This window comes from Homo sapiens, chromosome 3 (genome assembly GCF_000001405.40).
Source record: "Homo sapiens chromosome 3, GRCh38.p14 Primary Assembly".
Classification (NCBI taxonomy): Eukaryota; Metazoa; Chordata; class Mammalia; order Primates; family Hominidae; genus Homo; species Homo sapiens.
The window spans coordinates 193,297,252-193,314,583 of record NC_000003.12 but is presented as its reverse complement, the minus strand read 5'-3'; the positions used below and the strand labels follow the sequence as shown (position 1 = coordinate 193,314,583).

General features: G+C 40.1%; 1 protein-coding gene and 1 long non-coding RNA gene across 5 annotated transcripts in view; one reads left to right on the top strand and one right to left on the bottom strand.

Moving 5' to 3' along the window:
- ATP13A5 (ATPase 13A5) overlaps window positions 1–17,332 on the top strand; it is a 103,965-nt gene that overhangs the window by 64,170 nt on the left and 22,463 nt on the right. For all 4 annotated transcript variants that reach the window (NM_198505.4, XM_047448075.1, XM_017006305.1 and 1 more), the window contains 7 exons: window positions 391–551; window positions 2,643–2,768; window positions 3,867–3,946; window positions 7,215–7,257; window positions 8,916–9,025; window positions 13,277–13,373; window positions 15,381–15,453. In NM_198505.4, the coding sequence (NP_940907.2) occupies window positions 391–551; window positions 2,643–2,768; window positions 3,867–3,946; window positions 7,215–7,257; window positions 8,916–9,025; window positions 13,277–13,373; window positions 15,381–15,453 (690 nt within the window). The remainder of the gene's footprint in view (window positions 1–390; window positions 552–2,642; window positions 2,769–3,866; window positions 3,947–7,214; window positions 7,258–8,915; window positions 9,026–13,276; window positions 13,374–15,380; window positions 15,454–17,332) is intronic.
- On the bottom strand, window positions 63–7,340 carry ATP13A5-AS1 (ATP13A5 antisense RNA 1). Its single transcript, NR_046758.1, has 2 exons — window positions 7,184–7,340; window positions 63–540 (listed from the first exon to the last, which is right to left on the bottom strand). It is a non-coding gene; the product is annotated as an ATP13A5 antisense RNA 1 (long non-coding RNA).

Below are 17,332 nucleotides of genomic sequence, written 5' to 3'. Positions count from 1 at the left end.
CAAGCACAGCCTGACCCTGTGTGTTCTTTGCTTAGTTAGTTTCCAGATCCCGTGGATGGTTTAAGCTATCAGGCTGAGATCATGCTATATTCTCCACTAAGAGTTGTCTGTCTTCTGAGGATTGGTCATAAATGCTTAAGTATTTCTTTATTAATTCACACATGTTTTGAAATACACATGGACCAGGATATGATGCAGAATATGGAGAGGGAGATGGGAACATAGTGTTTGCCCAGTAGGGGCAGTCTACAGCAGAGAGGAAGATAAAATAAGGCAGAAAGCGGTAAATGCTCTCAAAGAACACCAAGCAGAGTGGAAAAGGGAGACCTCAGTTCTTGTTGCTGAGGGGAGGTTTGTACATACAGCAAGCAAAGTTTCTTTGTCTTCTAGGTGATAACCTTCAAACGGCCATTACTGTTGCAAAGAATTCTGAAATGATCCCTCCAGGCAGCCAAGTGATCATTGTTGAGGCCGATGAACCAGAAGAATTTGTTCCTGCCTCTGTGACCTGGCAGCTGGTGGAGAACCAAGAGACTGGACCTGGGAAGAAAGTGAGCAAATGTTAGAAGGCCCCTCCGTGGGCCTAGACTGATGGAATACAGTCCTGGCACTGCTCAGCCTTCTCTCAACTCCAGGAGTCATCTCAGTAATAATCCCTCACATCTGTCCAGAGTTTGACAGTTTGCAAAGCATTTCTGCCAGCTCTGGTTGCCTAGGAAAATCACCTGGGGGAGTTTCTAAGCTTCCAGTGCAGGCTGCACCAATTAAATCAGAACCCCTGGGGTAGGAACTGGCATCAGGTGCTTTTCCCAGCAATTCCAGTGTGCAGTCATGGCTGAGAACTACTGATTTATACTCATATTTTCCACTTGGTCATTAAAATAACCCTATGCAATTGGGCAAACCATTAATTTTTACAGATGAGAAAACTGAGGCTCAGAGCAGTAAGATTGCCCAATACAAAAACTGGTGAGTTGCAGAGCAGGAAAGCAGACTTAGGCCTATTTGATTCCACACAGATCCACGGGCATTTAGATTGTACTATACCTATGACATGAAGCTAACAGAGGCTGGGCTTTTCTAGATAGAAAGCTCCCTATGCTCTTGTGACAGAATAGCTTTTTCATAAGACAATGGGCTGTAGCCTTACATTCCATCACTAAAGGTAACACCCATGCTTTTGTGTGAATTCAAAGATATGGCCCTACAGGTGATGAATTACAAAAATGCTGCCTTCCTCCAGGCTGACCAGCCTTTCAGATTGTTAAGTATAGAGCGGGCCTTTGTGCAGTCAGGAGTCTTTCTGCAGCACACAAACTGCACAGCTATACAGAATGGCCCTGCCCCTACCCTGGGAAGAGGTGGGTTAACTTGCCTCAACCTCTAATTGCATGGGCTGTGAAAGATGACAGCTCTCCCTCTGCTCTCAGCAGATTTCTGGTGCTTATTTCCTTGTGAACCTACTTGCTTCTCCATCGGTGCATGCTGCCTGAATTTCACTGCATGCTGTAACCCAGGTCCTTTGTGAATTTTAACTAACAGTCCACTCACACTACTCATTCATGAATTTAATGCCTCTGCTGAAATTTTAGTCCCCACCAGGAGAAGCTGTATCACAGTTTCAGGCCTTCCTCCTCTCTGGGTCCCTCCACCATACTTCCTCTCCCCACATTCCCAGTGCAAGCAAAAGGAATTCCTGCCCTTGTCTCAGGAGGGATGCTTTAGAACATGTCTTTTGTTGGTTATTTTGCAATTGGAGATAGAAAGGGAGGGGTGTGTCATCTTGCCTCCCAATTCAGCACAGCAATTTTTTTTTCTTTCAACTACAATGCTTTCCCTGAGATGAAGTCATCTGATGAATAAAATTTTCTCACCTCCTGCAATATTTGAATTTAGAGTCCTAAACACAAATGGAAGTCTCTCTGAGGAATGTTGCATGAAAAACCATGATTAATTATTGATATAATGAATGCACAGGCATTCATCAGATGCTTTCTCCCTAACTGGGAACCAGGGAGGGCTAGAACCAAGCCAGAGAAACACCTTGACAGGTGCAAGGAAGGAGGGAAAGGGTTTCGGAAAAGGATTACTCCTGCAGTGGGATGTAGAGTATGGAAGAGAATCTGGGAACCATGATAGAAAGAGATACCTGTTGAGGTGGGGTCATAACAAAGGTCAGAGGCTGGGGCCTAAAAGGAGTTAGGCACTGAAGAAAGAGTGCCTGCTTTACAGTGAAGACAATGAGGGTGATTTTGGAATAAGTGAATGGTAGAGATCTTAGAAAATATAAGGTTGCATGAGGAGGAGAAGGAAGAAGAGGGAAGAATTTTCCTATTCTTGTAATAACTATTTGGGACCTAAGAATGGTTGGATTTCTTCAGTAGACTGACATCATACATATTATCTCCCAAGACGGGATCCAGAGTACCATACTGTCCAAGTATCATATGTTTACATAATCTTGGGGGGAATGTTTTGAGTGTTTTTTCCTATGGGTAGAACTGCTATAGGCAAATTACACATTATTTTGTTGCTGACCTTCACACTGTTAGGCAACATGAAAACTCTTCCTTCAATAACGCATAGGAAAGCAGAGACACTCCTTAGGAGTCAATGTAGAAATGATGCCCTTTTGATTTTAGGAAATCTACATGCATACTGGAAACAGTTCAACCCCTCGTGGGGAAGGAGGAAGCTGTTACCATTTTGCAATGAGTGGGAAATCATACCAAGTGATATTTCAGCATTTCAACAGCTTGCTTCCAAAAGTAAGTACTGAAGAAAGAAGTGTTTTGTTTTGCTCCTCAAATCAGCGAGGCGAAAGGAGGAGGAGAGTATTGAAAACAGTGATCACTGAGGTTGCCTCACAGTTAGAGAATAAACACCCCCAAAGGAGTACTGCTCCTGAAAAAGTTTTCTGGCCCTTTTTATGCCTTCTCGGTCCCAGGCAGACCCACGGCCTCCCGTTCAGAGTTTGAGTTCTGGTACCTTCTCTCACCCCTGTGGCCAGTTCAGCCTTCCTCCTTCTTTCCCTCCCCACCCAGGAGAACGGCAGAGTTCCAAACACGGTGCTTGTTTTGAGGGCCAGCTTCTCTCTGAAACCAACCAGCTCATGTCAGGCTAAGCTCTATTCCCCTTCTTGCCTGGATTCTTAAATTACAGCAAGAGGAAACAAAGGCCCCATGGTTTATTTTCAGAGTCATTTGTTATCTTGTCCTCTGTGTGTCCTGTTTTAAAATAGTGCTGTGCAGGGTTGCACTGTCAATGTGCGGGAGATTAATGGAGCACAAGGGGAGGGCAGCAACTATCTGTTAGCAGTGTCATGAAAATTCTGTCACCCTAGCAGTCAAAGTCCACAGAATCTAGACCCCAAAGGCTTCTAGAAAGCTCTTAGTTCAGTTCAGGGAAAGCTGAGACTCAGAGATATTAATCTGCTTGTCTAAGGTGTGCACAGCTAGCTGGCACAGCTGAGAACAGAGCCTTGTTTCTCAGCTTCCAGCCTTTCCTCTGTCTATGCTATGATTATGGAGATGGTGTCTATCAGGAAAGAACTGTGTTTCCTCAAGCATTTTTATTCCATATGCTCTTCTGCTTCTTAGTTACTGTAGTATTATTGATTAGTGGTCACCCCATCTTGGAAAAATAGTCTGGGAAAAAAGTAATGGAGTTGTGATGGAGGACTTTAAGTGAAATTTCAATATTAAAGTGTTAAATCTCCTTATTTCCCTTCCTGGTATTGGTCTAATGACATACCATCCAATGCTGTATTAAATTAGTAACCAGGAGTGATTTTTCAGGGCTGTTCTTTTATTTTTAAAAGTTTTCTTCTTCCCAATCATATTGCAATGGTTGTTTTTTCTTTTTAGATTCTGGTGAATGGAACAGTTTTTGCAAGAATGTCTCCTGGGCAGAAATCAAGCCTTATTGAAGAATTTCAGAAATTAAAGTAGGTGTCATGGCATGAAAGAAGAGTGTGCTCATTAACTCTTGCTACCTATGGGTCAATAATTCAGGTGTGAGTCAGAATGGCTATTATTAAAAAGTCAAAAATAACAAATGTTGGCAAGATTGCAGAGAAAAGGGAACACTTATACACTATTGGTGGGAGTGTAAATTAGTTCAGCCATTGTAGAAAGCAGTATGACAATTCCTCAAAGAGCTAAAACAGAACTACCATTTGAACCAGCAACCCCAATGCTGGCTATATACCTAGAGGAATATAAATCATTCTACCATAAAGACACATGCATGTGACTGTTCACTGCAGCACTATTCACAATAGCAAAGACATAGAATCAACCTAAATGCCCAGCAATGACAGATTGGACAAAGAAAATGTGGTACGTACACACCATGGAATACAGTGCAGTCATAAAAAAGAATGAGATTATGACTTCTGCAGGAACACAGATGGAAATGGAGGCTATTATCCTTAGCAAACTAATGCAGGAACAGAAAATCAAATACTGTGTTCTCACTTACAAGTGGAAGCTAAATGATGAGAACACATGGACACAAAGAAGAAAAACACAGATATTGGGGTCTACTTGAGAGCAGAGGGTGGGAGGAGGAAGAGGAGCAGAAAAAATAACTACTGGGTACTGGGCTTAATTCCTGGGTGATGAAATAATCTGTAAAACAAACCTCCGTGACATGAGTTCCCTCGTATAACAAATCTGCACATGTTCTCCAAACCTAAAATAAAAGTTTAAAAAAGGGGATTAAAAAAAAATTCAAGCACTGGCTTGAGTGGGGAAAAAAATCTCTCACCAGCCTCATTCACATGTTGAATGCTCAGTGCCTCATGAGCGGTTGGACTGAACCTCAGTTTTTCACTGGCTAGCGGACAGAAGCCAACCTCAGTTCCTTGTGACAGGGGCCATTGCATAAGGAAGCTCACAGTGCAACAGTTGACTTCTAAAAGAGCAAGCAAGCAAGAAGAACCAGAGACAGAGCACACAAGACGGATGTTGCTGTTTTTTATATGCCAGTCTCATCACCCTTGCCGTATTCCCTTCCTTAGGAGTAAGCCACTAGATCCAGCCCACGTCCAGGGGAGTGGATTACACAGGGCGTGGATGCCAGGAGCTGGGGATCGCTGAGGGCCATTTAGAAGTTACCTATTCCAGAGAGCATTTGTTCTGTGGGCCATAAGGCATATATCTTAGAGAACCCTCCCATGCTTGGATGTAGCAGAAATAGTGGGGCAGGTTGTATAGCTTAGAATCAGAAAAATGGGGAAGTAGGTGCGTTATACCCTGGAATTATTTTAGGTTGGTCCATTAGAAGATATGTGAATAATTTCTGGTCTTCTTAGCAAGAGGTGAAATAGCATTTTGCCTTTATCTGGCCCCAGCAGGGAAAGTCAAGAGAAAGTCCTTTATTACCCCCTTCAAAAATAAAGATGACCAAGTTACCTTATAGTGAAATGGTACTTCTTGAGACCAGATCTACCTACTGGTTTCTGGGAATGTAACAGTTTGGGGCTGCAGAGTCTAGGAAGTGAAAAGGAACATAGGGTAGTGAATCTTTAGATGATGGCTGGTGAGTTGTTGGTGAAATCAGGAGACACCCTTTTATTGTTAGATTTTGTTACCCAAGCATTCATAGGGAAGTCTTACAAACTGCCTATTAACTTCCAGAATGCCTGAGGCTGGGTAAGTAACCAGTGACTAAATGACTATTTCATTCACATGATCATTACATGATATTGCTGAAGAAAGTAATTTTACCTTTTTCAAATGCCTGAGAAATTTTGCCAACTAAAATGCCTAACTTTGAAAAGCCATATTCCCCTTAAAAAATGAATTCAGGAAGACACACACTGCCTCAGAATGAGCTGTCTTCTCAACATCCCAATCTTCCTCCTCATGCCTTTGTCATTGGCAATGTGCATAAGGCTGTCTGCATTCTCTTTCTGAATTCAGGGAATACTAGAAGATGATAAGATTCTTGATGTGATATAGAGACTAAATATGTGCTTTAAGCCTGAAAGAAGGAGCCATTTTTCAACAATTGTGGGTAGTCATGACATGAACATATATAGCATGATTATTTTCATCTACACAGCCCAGTATCGGATTGAACCATAGGGGTGTGCCTACATTTGACTTTTTTTTGTTTTTGAGACAGAGTCTCGCTTTGTTGCCCAGGCTGGAGTGCAGCGGTGCAATATCGGCTCACCGCAGCCTCCGCTTCCAAGGTTCAAGCAATCCCCCTGCCTCAGCCTCCCAAGTAGCTGAGATTACAGGAGCACACCACCATGCCCAGCTGATTTTTTCTATCTTTAGTAGAGATGGGGTTTCACTGTGTTGGCTAGGCTGGTCTCGAACTCCTGACCTCAAGATCCGCCTGCCTCAGCCTCCCAAAATGCTGGGATTACAGGTGTGAGCCACCGTGCCTGGCCACATTTAATTAACTGTTTTTGACCTATAAAAGTGGTTGTTTCTTATGCATTAACTAATAATAACGAAACGCTAACAAAACTTTATTTTTTCTCCTTATTGATTTCATAACTCTGTTTTTAGAAAAATGCAGCTAAGTCTTTAAGAATATTGTCATTTATCAATACTTATAATGTATAACTTATAATAGAAGGCAGGCAGTGTCTTACATCTGAAACTCCTTTTCTTTGGCAGCCGTATTAATTTTTACTCTTCTATTTGTATTGTGCTTGCACACCAAACTGATATAGATGGAAAACATATCTTATTTTCACCCTGACATGCATCAAAAATATGAATATATGTCTCTAGTTATATCTGTTAAACTGTTTTTGAAATTTCTCATCCTGGTATTTGAGCTGTAAATGCTCAGCAACAGTCAGTGACTAAAATGCAGCTGGATTGGGTTATGATCTCTGCATTAGGTTGTGTGGGAAGTGCTCTGCTCATGACTGCATACTCTTAAGCTTGGCCTTGGTGCGTATCATCAAGCAGGACTTCTTTTAAAGTGTGCAATCACTGTTTTGCCGATGTCCTTGGTTATATCACTACCATTTCAATGTGATTGATTGAAACAACTTAAATAACGCAACTGCCTTTTCCCTCTGGGAATATGTCTCTCCAAACCATTTTTCTTCAGCCTGATTCCAGGTGTGTTCAGGGGACACACACATACACACAAATCACATGTGACTTAGTTATGATGGAAAATATTCAAGTGAGCTGTTCATTTTTCTTACCTATTAATCCTTCTTCTCCTGTCTCCCGCAGTTATTATGTGGGCATGTGTGGAGATGGAGCTAACGACTGTGGGGTGAGTAGAAATGGCTTTTGCTCAGACAAGCCACTCACTAATATCCCTCTGGAGGACCTCAGGCTCTCCTGGGGTTTGTCTCTTCATCCTTCCACCAGCAACCATTTGATTATTTTGCTGTTTATATCCACCTCTACCTGAGTGTGGGTTGGAAGCGGAGGGGAGTAAAGGGAGATGAGACACTTCCGATGCTTTCTGGAAACTCCTAGAATAATAAACACAAAGGAAGGCTACTTAGACTCCCATATTTCAGGTTCCAAAGATGGAACTTTACAAGTCTATCTGCTTTAAATCTTTCCTGTTATCAGTAATGAAATGATTTCTCAAGGAGGTGATTTCTTCCCCCCTCCCAAGGTCACACAACTGATAAAGACTCAATGAAACGAAGTTTGAAACTGATGATTAAAGTTTTGAATTATATGTAAATTATATTTATTCCTGCCAAACTTTCATTCTCTGGTTAGTTTTTAAGTTTGCTTCACCCAGAACTCTTTCACTCAGTAAAATCCTAGACCAAACTATTTAGTTATTTTATGCTATAGAAAAAGCTAAATAAAATGATTATCAGCAAATTATTTTTCATATGCAGTAGAAGGGCAGTGAATGTTTTATATTCTGAGTTTTAAAGACATGAAGGAAACAAATAGTCTACCTTCAAGATTATGTACTTAAGGAAATATTTCAGTAGCTGATTTATGGGACAAGAAGTGAGGAAGATTTCTTTGTATTTCCAAAGCTTATTAGAGATTTAAGATCTTGGTATTTGTTTTATTTCTCTCTTAAATATTATTTCCAAATTTCTGTGAAAACTGTGTTTATAGCTAGAAATTTTTATAGCTAGAGATGTTTTTTGCTTTATGTTTCATGAGAAAAAGCTAATTTTTAGTCTGTTCTTTCAAATCTAGAATACGTATCCTCTCACATTAATTATGTGGCGTTTAGAATAAAACAAAAAAATCAAATGCAAAAAGGGACATAGTCTCTGCCTCCTAAAGAGTTCATTGTCTGATGAAGAAAGAATCATGAATAAAACTAACCCTAACATAAAGTAGATGGTCCTAAAGTACATAATAGAGATACGAACTAGAGATCAAAGAGGAAGAAGAAAATGTCCTATTATTTATTAAACCTGAATCTAGTATGTACTCATGGCGCCAGGTACTCTGTAGTTCTGTGGAACTACAGATATATAAAAGTTCATTTTATGCCCACACAATTCTTATAGGATCGGCCTAGGAATTCTTTCACCTTTGTTCATGAAGATTCCCACCAGGTACAAGAACTGAAACGGTGAAGGTCCCCAACCAACGTCCATCCAAATTCTGTCATCTTTTTAATTGAGTTTTTGAATGAGGGCTTCCATCTCCTTTTCACATCTATAATCCCCACAGGCAGGGCCCTTGTATGCACATGCCCACATGCACACACGCATGCATGTACACACACCACTTTTCTACCTCTGGGTCATTGTTTAGTTAGTGACTTTGTGGATCAGGGGAGAGAGGGCACTCCAGGTGGAGGGACAGCATTAAACAGAGACCCAAAGATGAAACAGTACAGTGTTATACCTTTATGATGTGAAGAACAGCCTCTTGGTGTTTTAAGAGGTAAAGCCTAACCTGAAAAGTCATGGGTGAGACATGGGCTTATCATTCCAGGCTTTGAAAGCGGCTCATGCAGGCATTTCATTATCAGAGCAGGAAGCATCTGTGGCATCCCCTTTTACCTCTAAAACAACCAACATCCAGTGTGTGCCTCATCTCATCAGGTAAGTCATTTTTTCCTCTTCCAGCCCTACAATCAATGGGCCCATTGTCTGGCTCTGCAGACAGAATTCAACTACAAGCTAAAGTGATAAATGCTGCAACAGAGGAATGGGTGAAGTGCTATTGGAGAACCAATGAAGGGGGCCATTAGTGTTACTCAAGAGTGCTGGTAAAAGCCACAGAAAAGTGACTTTTGCTGAGCCTTAAAGGATAGGTGGGTATCATGTAAACAGTTGAAAGCTTGACTTGATGTTTTAAAACTAATTGTATTTCTTACTTTTTCTCTCCTCTATTTGGTATGTTGGATGCTTCCTGTAACATTTCTCTCAGGAATTTTGGATGGATGAGGAAGCAGAAAGGAAATACTTCATTAGATAGCTTCCCTAAATACTATTACATGTCTCCAAAATGCAAATTAGTAAATATCCAATATCTTTTACATAAAAAGTTGATTGACAGTGTCAGGGAAGGGGAAGTGATATGGTTTGGCTTTGTGTTCCCACCCAAATCTCATCTGGAGTTGTGGTTCCCAGCCTGTTGACTGGATCATGGGGGCAGTTTCCCCGATGCTGTTCTCATGATAGTGAGGGAGTTCTCATGAGATGTGATGAATTTTAAAGTGGCAGTTTCCCCTGCGTGCTTCCTCTCTCTTGTCTTGTGAAGAAGGTGCCCACTTCTCCTTCACCTTCGCCATCTTTGTAAGTTTCCTGAGGCTTCCCCAGCCATGTGGAATTGTAAGTCAATTAAACCTCTTTTGTTTACAAATTACCCTGTCTCAGGTAGTAATCTTTATGGCAGTGTGAAAATGGACTAATACAGGAAGCCATTAACAGACGTTTATTTTCACAGCATGCTTCCCTCCCCTCCACTCCACTCTGATTTCTGATCTCATGTCTACTTATATTTTAAATGTAGTTAAGAACAAAACACCCAGTTTTATGTTTTATTCATAAATCTGATTTATCTATTGTTTCCTATAGCACTTATGGATAATTTCTGGGCATTTTCATGGGCAGTGATCTGAAAACCATCACCAGATTTTGAGATTCATACAAAAAAGACAGCCATGAAGTTCCCCAGCATGTCCTTTGGTGCATCAGAATAAACAGGTCACTGGCAGGAATCACTGACCTAAAGGTAGCAGGTCTAAAATTCCACACCCCTGGTTGGCTGCATATCAGCAAGACAGCTTTACACAACACCCTGAACACTGGGTGTCTGCACGTGTGTCCTTTCACACCCTCAAACACGATCACTTCCCCTGCCTCCAAAGCAGCTCCTCTTCCCAACTCCCACTTTCCTTGCTTCTAAGAACAGTCTACTCCTTGGAGTCTGCCATTGAGGTTCAGACCCTTAGAGTGCGTGTAACTCCTTCCTCTTCTTCACCCATAACCAAACAAGCATTATGTTTTACTGATTTATTTTGCAGAGTATCTCTAAGCCCTTTGGTTACTATCTCTAGTGTCTTAACCTTGGTTTGTGTCATGGTGACTACATGATGATAGTACTCAGAACCCTCGCCTTATTTTATGCTTTCCATTGTCAATACAACTCATGGAGCTCTTTACAAGTGTGCTTGGAAATGTAAAGAATGAGAGAGTCTTGCCCCCGGAGAATTTACATTCCAGCAAAAATTATGTGTGTGTGTGTGTGTGTGTGTATGTGTATGTATATGTGTAACATGTTACATATATTTACATAAATACATATATACATATATATGAATGTATATATAAATATGTGTGTGTGTGTATATATATTTATATACACACACACATACAAATGAAGTGGATGTGGGTCACTTCCCATGTGGATTGCTTCTGCCCTGACCAGAGGAGGCTGAAGGAGAGCTGGTTTGCTGAGGTCCCACTCTCGCATCACGTGCTGCTACCTCACGTCTTCTTTTAACCTGTCATAATCCACCATTCAGAAAACCTGTTACCGCATTAACAGCTAAGACTGAATTTTTTTAAAGGAGAAATATCTCCTTTACATATATACATATATACATACATTAACATATATACACACACATACACACAAATATATACATTATTTATTGAGTGTCTCTCATGCATCAGGCATGTTTTATACACACACATACACACACAAAATTATATATATACAATGTCTGATACATGGGACGTGCTCAATAAATTTGCTTGAAATAAATTAATGTCCAAACAAGACAGCAAATGTTCTGGCAGTTGAGTGTGAGAACTCAAGCCAGGAGGGAAGCTTTCAGTAGGGGAGTTGCAACTTGAAAAATGGGTGAGACTTATGTAAACAGAAAGGAGGTGAGAAGGAATTCCAGGTGGGGAAAATGCGGCAGCCATGTTTAGACACAGTGTTGTAACTGGAGAATGCAGGGGCCAGTTGGTGCAACTGGGCTAGAAGACTTCTCAGATGAGAATTGTGGTGGTTAAGCTAGACAACCAGATGTGGAGACCTTGCAGGGAGTTTGAGCTCCTGGATAACAGTGCAAAGTGCCTACTTGATCCATTCAACATGCAGTGGCATTCGAACTTCAGATGCTCCTCCTCATGCATGTGGCCCAGTGCATTTATGAGTGCAGTGTACTGTTACGGAATACAAGTCATGATGTAAAATTTCTCCAGTGGCAGATGGCTCAGTAAGACGCTAGGGTAGAAACTCCTTGCTTTTATATTTCATAGACTCATAAAAATTAGATATGGTTCAGCTCTGTTAGGCTCATTTTACTTTTTCTATCCTTGATGCATACTTATTCCTGAGAAAGCACTCCAGAGAGGCAATGAGATACAGTTTTAGATGCATAGGATCAAATCCACGGATTTTCATCTTTGTCTTTTGAAACATGATTTACTTGTTGCTATAGTTCAAGTCCTTTAGGGCAGAGACTGTGTCTTAGTGATTTTTGTATCAAGCATTATGCCTAGCACTATGCTGGGTATATCAGAGCATTCAGTGAACGTTTGTAGAATGCGTAGATAAATGCATGAGCTACTTAAAATTCACAATCATTAGGAATAGCAGTAATTTTGGAGGCCCATTTATCCTTTACTTAGAATAGTTTCTTGTACTTTCCTTTGAATCTGGGTGTCTTAATTTTCCTGGAACTATGCACGATTGCAGAAAAAAACAATGAAATCGCAATGTTTATATCAGACTTGGGAAAACGATCCATACTTCACATGCTTGCCCCTTCTCAGCTTGTCTTCTGCTCCATCCTCAGTGTTGAAAACAAACGACAGCACCTCACAGCTTGGTAGAAAATATCTTCCCAAAATATCCTGGCCTCTCTCCCACCCTTGCCTTCTCATTTTGCCTGAGACAAAGTGGTTAGTAGTTTGGCTTTTAGGTTCTTCTTTTCATGTCCCTGTTCTGTTGACCACATCTTTGAGCAGAGCAGGTGTCCATGTTACTGGGGAGTAGAAATGAAGTGGATGTGGGTCACGTCCCATGTGGATTGCTTCTGCCCTGAGCAGAGGAGGCTGAAGGAGAGCTGGTTTGCTGAGGTCCCACTCTCGCATCACATGCTGCTACCTCACATTTTTTTCTTCTAACCTGTCATAATCCACCATTCAGAAAACCTGTTACTGCGTTAATAGCTAAGACCGAATTTTTTTAAAGGAGAAATATCTACTTTTTAAGCTGCATTTTTTACTGTCGTCTTGATCTCTTGATCTTTATGGCCCACTCAGATTATTACCCTGGGGTCTTCCTGCAATATCAAAGCCTTCCTTACCCATTTAATCTCAAATATTAGAGTCACATTCACACTTCCTAAAATGTCAAAGCACCTATCCTTTAGCTTTATGTCTCCAAGGACCTCTAAAGCACACACAATGCAATTCCCAGGAAGCATGTATTGTTAAGATGTAATGAGTCACAAGTGAGTCAATGCTTGACATTTTGCACCTTATCATAATGTTGTATTGTGTTTATAATACACATAGTAATCTTCTCACTTCACTGAAAGCTTGTTGAAAATGAGGAGTGTGCCTGATTCATTTTATATCCTCTATGACTCTTAGCATAATGCTGGTACTTCATAAGCCCTAAATAAAAGTGAGTAAATGAACCGATGAGTAAGGTAATGATTGAAGGAGAGAATGAATGAATGAGTGGTTAAATAAATAGGAGGATGAATTCATGATTAAGTGAATGTATGTCAACAGGCTACTAAAAATATAACTCGTTTTAAGTATAAAAGAAGTTGGGAGACATTTATCATACATAACCAATTTTTATTTTTATTTCTTTTTAAACAGAGAAGGCCGAGCTGCTCTGGTTTCATCCTTTGGAGTATTTAAATACTTGACCATGTACGGCATAATCCAGTTTATCAGTGCATTACTGCTCTATTGGGTATGAAACAAAATCATTTTGTCTCAGTTCTAATTGCATTTATGTCCCTAATTTATTATTCAGGGTGTAGCTCCTATACAAGATTTAATGTTTTATAAACAAATGACATTTCTCAAAATAGGTGTCTGCAAACTCAGGAACCTGGTGTAACTGTGCATGAAATGTGGAACTAGAAATAAGTACATGTAGATGAGTTTTCTAGTGTGTTGTTTTTCTCTTGATAACCTGAGACTCTTCACCTCTCCAAACCCCTGTTTCTTCTTTTGGAATATGAAGAGAGCTTCAAAGCAGCCTAAGTATAATTCAGCAGGAAATGGATGAGTCTCCAATTGTGGAATATTTTCAACGGAAGACTAAGAAGAGATAAAAAGGAAGAGAAGCTGTTGAATTTGCTTTTGAAGGACTAGAATGCTAAAGACCTTTCACAATGGACCCTTATTCCTGAAGGTACCTAGAATTTATACAGTCAGGGATATCATTAGTAAAGAATCGGAAATTCTTTGAAACTAAAAAAGACTCAAAATTAAATGATGAAAATAGCCATTTAAAAATTAATTAGCTGTACAGAAGAACTATGTATAAGCTAAAAATAATCTTCATTAGTCCAACCATAGCTTGTACTACAGTAAAATGATCCAACAGGCTCAAGGAACACTTCAGGAGGGATTATTCTATTGCTTTCCTGGGAGGTTTGAGAAGTGAATAAGAGGGCCACAAGATTATACCATCCAGTGGGCTATTGCTTGCAAGAATCACACACAGAGGGCTCAAAGGCAGCCTGGTGGGAAGAAACAAGAACTGGACTGGGAGTCAGAAAACCTGGATTCAAGTTCTTCATCCAAAAGAACAAATTAGGTCTTGCCTTTGGCCAAAACCTGCTTCTGGGAAGCTGATTTTTCAGAGCCCTCCATAGTTCCATGAAAGCTTCTCCTAGAAGAAAAACTAAAGCTGCGGTTGGAAATTTCTTCCTGCTCCATCTCATTCTGAATATATAATTTTACCACTCTCAGGTGAAAAGAAGAGGAAAGGATATGAGAAAGAAAAGTAAAGAAGACAGGAAGAATTGGAGGTTGACAGGGACACTGAGGAACCAATGGCAGCCTTTCAAACATGTGAAAGCAGAAATTCATTTTCCAAAGCCTCCACGGATGGAGGTAGAAACCATAGTCCACTCTGCAGCCATTCATTCTAGTGGTCTAGACCTAAATAAGAGTGTCGCAGAAGAACCTTAACCTGGTACCTTCTGGGACTTGGATTCACTCTCTGAGAAGCCAGCAATACTTTCCATGTGCATAAATCTGGTCTGTAATGTGCTCAGAACCAGTTTATAGTTTAGTGCTTAGTCGACAGATATGAAACAGATAAACAGACCTGGCTGCAAGAGATATTGCAAGGCAACTTCCTGGAGAGTAATGATTTGACTTTCATATCTAAATACTTCAACTCTATAATGTGAACTTGAAAGAAGTTCTGTCTACACAAACCTTAAAAAGGCAGATGTACCCGACTGAATTCTGCAATGGGCTTACTTAGGGTAGGAGCCTTTGTTCAGTTTGTGAAAGTGAATGGACTCCAAGAGACCTATGTTGTAAACTCATACCATGGGTGAGGATGGAGAGCAATGCCTATTGAATGAATTGCGCCTTCACTTCAAATTTTAAGTATAACATTTCTAAGGGAACATTCAGGCTTTAACATCTTATGTTGAGAATTCAACTGCCTAGGCTGAGACTACAGCTGTCAGGTAATTAATGCACCCAATAGGAGGGTGGTTCTCAAATAATTGACTTTTGTCGCTAATATGAAGTAGGTTAAATGCAGGGAAAATAGTCGTCTGGCCTCATTCTACAAAATGAGATGCTAATAATTTTAGGTTAGTCATTTTCTTCCTGAAGAGGGAAAAAAAAGTAACAGCTGCCTCCTAACGACTTAAAAAGAGTGTAGGGAATAATAAATAGGCTATGATGGCAGATGCCACATTTATATTTGCTTTTGTTTCTTTTTCAGCAACTACAACTCTTTGGAAATTACCAGTATCTCATGCAAGATGTAGCCATTACTTTGATGGTCTGTTTAACAAGTAAGCTCTTTAGCAAAGAAAACTATATTGTTTTTATTTATCTATGAAATTCTAGAAACAGTCACACAAAAAGGAACTTTTGAGAAAGAGGCACCCTTATTTCCAAAACCTCATTATTTACAATTTTTTAAAAGTGATATTGGGAGTAAGTTGAGAGTTGAAATCCTGAGACTTGGCATTAAAACATTCTGACAACAAATAGGTCTTAGTCACAAAAAACTGTCAACGTAGTCCAAGTTCTTTGTAGTTTTATGTCTTGTACATAGAAAAATGAATACAAAACCTAGAAAGGGAATTTTTTAAAACCCAAAGGTCACTTTCCATTATTCAGCTATGCTTCACATTGACGTGAAACCAGATTTTTTTCTAGGTCTTTGATGTGTGAGAACAAATGCTAACATTTTATTTTAGTAGAATTCTCCAAAAGCAAGGTGTGGCTTCCAACAGCAGCTATTGCTCATGTCCTTCCTTTGAGATGACACTGGTAAAGTATTTCCTATCAAGGAGCTCAGGACTTGATGCTGACTCTTAATAAGTGATAAAGGTGACTGCCTCACCAGAGAGCAAGGAAAAAGAATGGCATTGTCATCTCTTTTTCCTTGCTCAACAATAGGCATGTTATGAAAAATAACAGATAAAACATCAGGCAATGTAGGATATTAATAACCTTGAGAATTTCATGTAGCACCTTAGTACATAAAACTGATATGTTTTATGTATCAACCCAATGACTGAATTTATCAGTATCAGAGCTATAAGCACTAAAACATCAATTTTGATTCTTAGGGTTGAAATGTCTATTCATAGTTCATTAAAATATTTTTCTACATGTTATTAATATTCATATGACTGAATAATTTTGAATCAATGAAATTGCTTCTACAGCACTGGATATTTTAAGCAATTTGCATGATTTATTTGTGAATGATACTAAAAAGAGAAAAAAAACACCAAGAGGTTTCAAGAACCAAGCTTTCAGGCAGCAGCATGGAGGTGAAGGCCATGGCTATTGTGGCCTGTTTTCGTGACCTCTGGCTAACTGTCCTCATAGAATTGTGAGGATCAGATACAATGATGCTGGTGAAGTGTGCATCACAGCACAGGACACACTGAGCACTCATTACAACATGAATCATATCTCCTCCTTTTCCTCTTTTGAGAAGACTGACTAGCTCTCTGAGCACTTGAAGAGCCTTAGAATGTGTACAGATAGACCAGTGTCATTAGAAATCCAAAAACATGGATGATCTTCCTAGTTCTAGTCTTGCCTCCGACTTACTATATGACACTGAGCAAGTTATTTGGAGCTTTTGCACACTTAATTCCATGATATTAGTTATGTGGTAATGGGGCTGCTTAAATCTTTCCCACAGCAATAGCCTGTTGAGCCTCATGCCAGTTGGTAGCCCTGGGAAACTCAGTCTCGCATCTCAGAATGGGCTCTATGGGAGTGCTGGGATGACTCACAGTGGGACCGTTATTACCACTAGGAGAAAAAAAACCTCAGAAGGGTGACGATAGACCAGAAGCATAACATTCTATCAGAGTGACGGCACTTTAATTATTACTCAGCAGACTGTAGCTAGTAAATGGGCTAAACTCAGGGAGATTGGTGAAGGAGAGAGTAGAGGCAGAAACCAGCTATGTTTGTTAGTTTGTTTTTTACCCTCTACCTGCAAACATCCTATTGTTTTCCCGTCTCTGCAAACTTACTCATCCCACAGGCTAGTCATTTCCTGGTCAAGTCTAGGTATTAAGATGATCTTATCCTTAGACATGAAAAGTCCAGGTATTATAATTATTACTTCACATTTTCATCTGATTCAAAGCTTTTCTTCCCTTACATTAAGCCTGAACTATGGGCTTGGGGCAAGCAGTA